Source organism: Homo sapiens, chromosome 1, assembly GCF_000001405.40.
Source record: "Homo sapiens chromosome 1, GRCh38.p14 Primary Assembly".
NCBI classification, from domain to species: domain Eukaryota; kingdom Metazoa; phylum Chordata; class Mammalia; order Primates; family Hominidae; genus Homo; species Homo sapiens.
Genome location: NC_000001.11, coordinates 205632012 through 205636301, shown reverse-complemented (window position 1 = coordinate 205636301; position 4290 = coordinate 205632012). Strand labels below are relative to the sequence as shown.

General features: G+C 44.0%; 1 annotated feature.

Moving 5' to 3' along the window:
- Positions 3904-4213: an enhancer, noted in NCBI's record as "active region_2385". NCBI's record gives its function as "activates an Ori minimal core promoter by ATAC-STARR-seq in GM12878 lymphoblastoid cells {active_cell/tissue: GM12878}" and the evidence as "EXISTENCE:reporter gene assay evidence [ECO:0000049][PMID:35858748]".

The following is a 4290-nucleotide window of genomic DNA, read 5'->3' as shown; positions in this document are numbered from 1 at the left end:
TGCCTGAGGCAGGAGAATCGCTTGAACCCGGCAGGCAGAGGTTGCAGTAAGTCGAGATCCCATCACTGCACTCCAGCCTGGGTGACAGAGTGAGATTTTGTCTCAAAAAAAAATTGATATATTCTCTCTTCTTTCTCTATTACATATTCCATATCAATTTTTATAAGTCTAGAAATAATACATTTATCAAAGACCAATAAAATTACTTGAGGTTAAAAATATTAAAAGAAAATAAGTAGACTGGGTGTAGAGATCAAGAATGAAAATTATATGAAGCTATTTTCTGACCTGTGTTTGTGACAGGTCATCAAACATATTAGACAGTTGCTATGCCTCAGGCGGTAATTGCAATAACTCATGTCTCGTCATGTCCTCTCTGAAAAAACAATGTATTGTGTGGAGATTACAGCTAGTCCTGAAAGATGTTGCCATGAGTTTACTTCACAGTCTAGAGGCCACAAGTACCTTGTTCAATGACCTTCAGATTGGGTTTTCTCCGGACCCTTAATACCCTCTGATTAAAAGCCTTATTATTGGGGATGAAACGTTTACTGGTTATATTTGGTAAAGTTTAGGACCTTAACAGGTAGTAGGGGTTGCCAGTGCTGCCAGATTCAATATACAGCTAGCCAGAGTTTTCTTTTCAAAGATAACTTTACCTCTATCTAAGATCTCAGTCCACACAAATATAACAGCAATAGGGCTATTTACCAAGAGTTCAAAGCATCATTTGATCAACCGCTTTTTTTTTTTTTTTTTTTTTGAGACGCAGTTTCGCTCCTGTCACCCAGGCTGGAGTGCAGTGGCACGGTATCAGCTCACTGAAACCCTCACCTCCCGGGTTCAAGCCATTCTCCTGCCTCAGCCTCCTGAGTAGCTGGGATTACAGGTGCCTGCCACCACACCTGGCTAATTTTTTTGGTATTTTAACAGAGATGGGGTTTCACCATGTTGGCCAGGCTGGTCTTGAACTCCTGACCTCAGGTGATCTACCTGCCTCAGCCCCCCAAAGTGCTGGGATTACAGGTGTGAGCCACCACAACCAGCCTACTGCCTTTTTCTTTTAGTCTATCCATTACAGACATGAAGTGAAAGGTATGTCTCTTTTATTTCTAAAGATGTTGAAAGTGAAACCCAGAAAGGGTAAGTCGCAAGGATTTTCTCAGGAGGTTCAAGTTTTGAGTTTAGGGAGACCCAAAGGCTAGAACCCAGATATCCCAGATTTTTATTCTTTCTTCTCAGTCATGTTGCAATTTGCTCCACACTTGTCCCCACCTGGGGTTGTGGGTGCTGTCTTTGACTTAAAAGATATCTCTTCTTAATGTCACGTGCTACAGGATATTGCTTGAAAGACGTAACAGGCAACTGGATGGCTCCATGCTTGCTTAGTCAGTCAAAAATCCGTGAAACACTTCTTTAGGAAAAAGGGATAGTGACTGGGAGTAATGATGAAGCAGTGAAATAAAGAGAGGGAAGAGGAAGTTGCCTTGAGAAGTAATGATCATAACTAGGTGTTATTGGGATAGGAAATGTAATTAAATTAGGGGCAAGGGGTTGCAGAGCTGAGTTAACTGCAGTGATTAAGAAAAAAAATCTAGGCCAGGCCCGGTGGCTCACATCTGTAATCCCAACACTTTGGGAGGCCAAGGCAGGCGGATCACGAGGTTAGGAGTTTGAGACCAGCCTGGCCAACACGGTGAAACCCCGTCTCTACTAAAAATACCAAAATTAGCTGGGCGTGGTGGTGCACACTTATAGTCCCAGCTACTCAGGAGGCTGAGGCAGAAGAATCGCTTGAACCCGGGAAGCGGAGGTTGCAGTGAGCCGAGATTGTGCCACTGTAACTCTAGCATGGGTGACTGTGTGAGATTCTGTCTCAAAAAAAAAAACAAAAAACAAAAAACAAAAAACAAAATCTAGGGCAGGCCAGGTAGAAAATACATATTTAAACATTTTAAGCCAGGCGTGATGGGTCACGCCTGTAATCCCAGCACTTTGGGAGGCCGAGGCGGGCGGATCACCTGAGGTCAGGAGTTCGAGACCAGCCTGACCAACACGGAGAAACTCCATTTCTACTAAAAATACAAAAAAATTTAGCCGGGCATGGTGGCGCATGCCTGTAATCCCACCTACTTGGGAGGCTGAGGAAGGAGGCTCGCTTGAACCCGGGAGGCGGAGGTTGCGGTGAGCCGAGATTGCGCCATTGCACTCCAGCCTGGGCAAGAAGAGCGAAACTCTGTCTCAAAAAAATAAATAAACATTGTAATAAAATCTACAAATTTTCTTTGGGATGGCTCTGAGTAACTAAGGCTAAGATCAGGAATCCATCTATCTGGTGGGAAAGTGACCAAACAAGATAACGAAAAAGCAGTCTTTTTGGTTGACCAACGTAACTACCATGGAGTTTGCACAAACAGAACCATCTGTTGTGTGAGGAACCATGGAGAGAGATTGTGTATTTATAGAATCTTGAGTGGGAAAACCAGGCACATTAATTAACTTTTCCCCTCAAGTTCTCTAATTAGAAATCCACTTTTCTTCCTTTCTCTTCTGTCAATATGTACCGCCTTAAAAAAAAGTCAATTTAAAAGCAGACAGATTTGCTATGACTAATTTAAGAACTCCCAAAGCAGGCTGTTTTCCAAAAATACACTGCAATTGACAATGCCGTAAGCTCAGTCTAAAAGGGATATGACACAACTACTGGCCCTAAGGCCGAATCAGATGTTTACTGCCAGTTTGAACAGAGCAGCGTAGTGTGCAGATCTCCACAACCCTTAACTGTTCTTGGTAGGGGGCTTTAAAATGAAATCTTTTTATAAACAAATGTTTCCAATAGGTGTATCCTAAACAGCCTACCTTAATACTTTTTTTTTTCTTGGTTTCCAAGATGGAACTTGTTGCAAGGAAAATTTTATGTTAGGGGCCAAGACTGCTAGTGCTTTTCAGATACTGCATGTTCCTTATAAAACATGTCTTAATATGTTTGCATGCTTTGGTAAAACTAATTTTGGAAAGGTAACATCTTTTGGTAGAGTTGTTTTTACAGGAATAGCTACCTTTGTGGATTATAATTACTCTGTATTATGGAAGAGGAGGCTGGAAATCAAGGAAGTGATGATTCTCTTCCAAAAGCCTACAAAAGGATGACAGAATCACATTTCACTCAGTGAGTTCAATTAACTATACATTCAATTGTGGGGGCAAAAATAAATGACACCACGATTTACTGGGTATCTACTATGTGCTAGGTAATGCACTAAGTACATTATGCTCTATACTTCATTTAATCCTCTCAGCAATGCTGCTCATTATCGTCATTTTACATGAGGAAACTGAGGTCCAGAAAGGTTAAGCAACTCACTACAGGTCACACAGCTAGTAAATGGCCTCGAATAACCAGTAACTCAGACACTGACCTCTCTTTGGTTTCTTGTTAAACAAACACCTAATTTATTTCTTGGAGGTTTTGTTCAGCTGTCCTAATTTATGACTTTACATTCCTTCTGGTGCTAAACTGCTCAAGTAGCCTCTTGTATCAAGTGTGACCTGATTCCTTAAGAATTTTACTTAATGAGAACCTCTAAGCTAGAAACTCTTGCTAGGTGTTTCATGCACCTTATTTTCTTTAATCATTACAACAACTCTAAGATTGGGTTCTCTCCACCTTATAAATGATGACTGTTTTAGAGAGGTTAAGGTTGCTTAAAATTGGTGAGTTAGTGAGGGGTAGAGCCACGAATGGATTTCTGGTCGCTGCCTCCATCGTCAGGGCAAGCTTTTCCCACGACTCCAGCGCTTCCATTTGTCAGTCCCCAGGCTAGAAAGCCACAGTGCTAATTTAGTATTTATCAAGCGTTTGTAGTGTCCTGGGATCTGGCACTTCGATGAGAAAGCTGTGACGGCCCCAACTTCTAACAGCGAGTGGTAAGGAGGACGAGGGACACAGGAGGGAGGAGACTCTCCCCAAAGCTTAGCACCAACAGAAGTGGTCCCCCGCAGGTTGCTCTGCGAGCGCCACCTCTTCCCTCCAACCGAGGAGAAAGTGGCGCGCCTTTGAGGAGTCCGAGGTCCCGGCCCAGGCGGCAGCTTGGGTCCTGGCGGGTTCCGGACGGGCGCCTCAGGGACCTGGAAGCAACCGCACCGAACGCGACGGAGAGCGGCGAGACGACTCCAGGAGGCGCCCGAGCTACATCCCCCGGCCACACCAAACCCGGGTTTGCTGGCAGACGCGGCTCACGACACCCCTTAGGGTCGCAGCCCCTCCCCCGGAAGTGACGTGTAGCGACT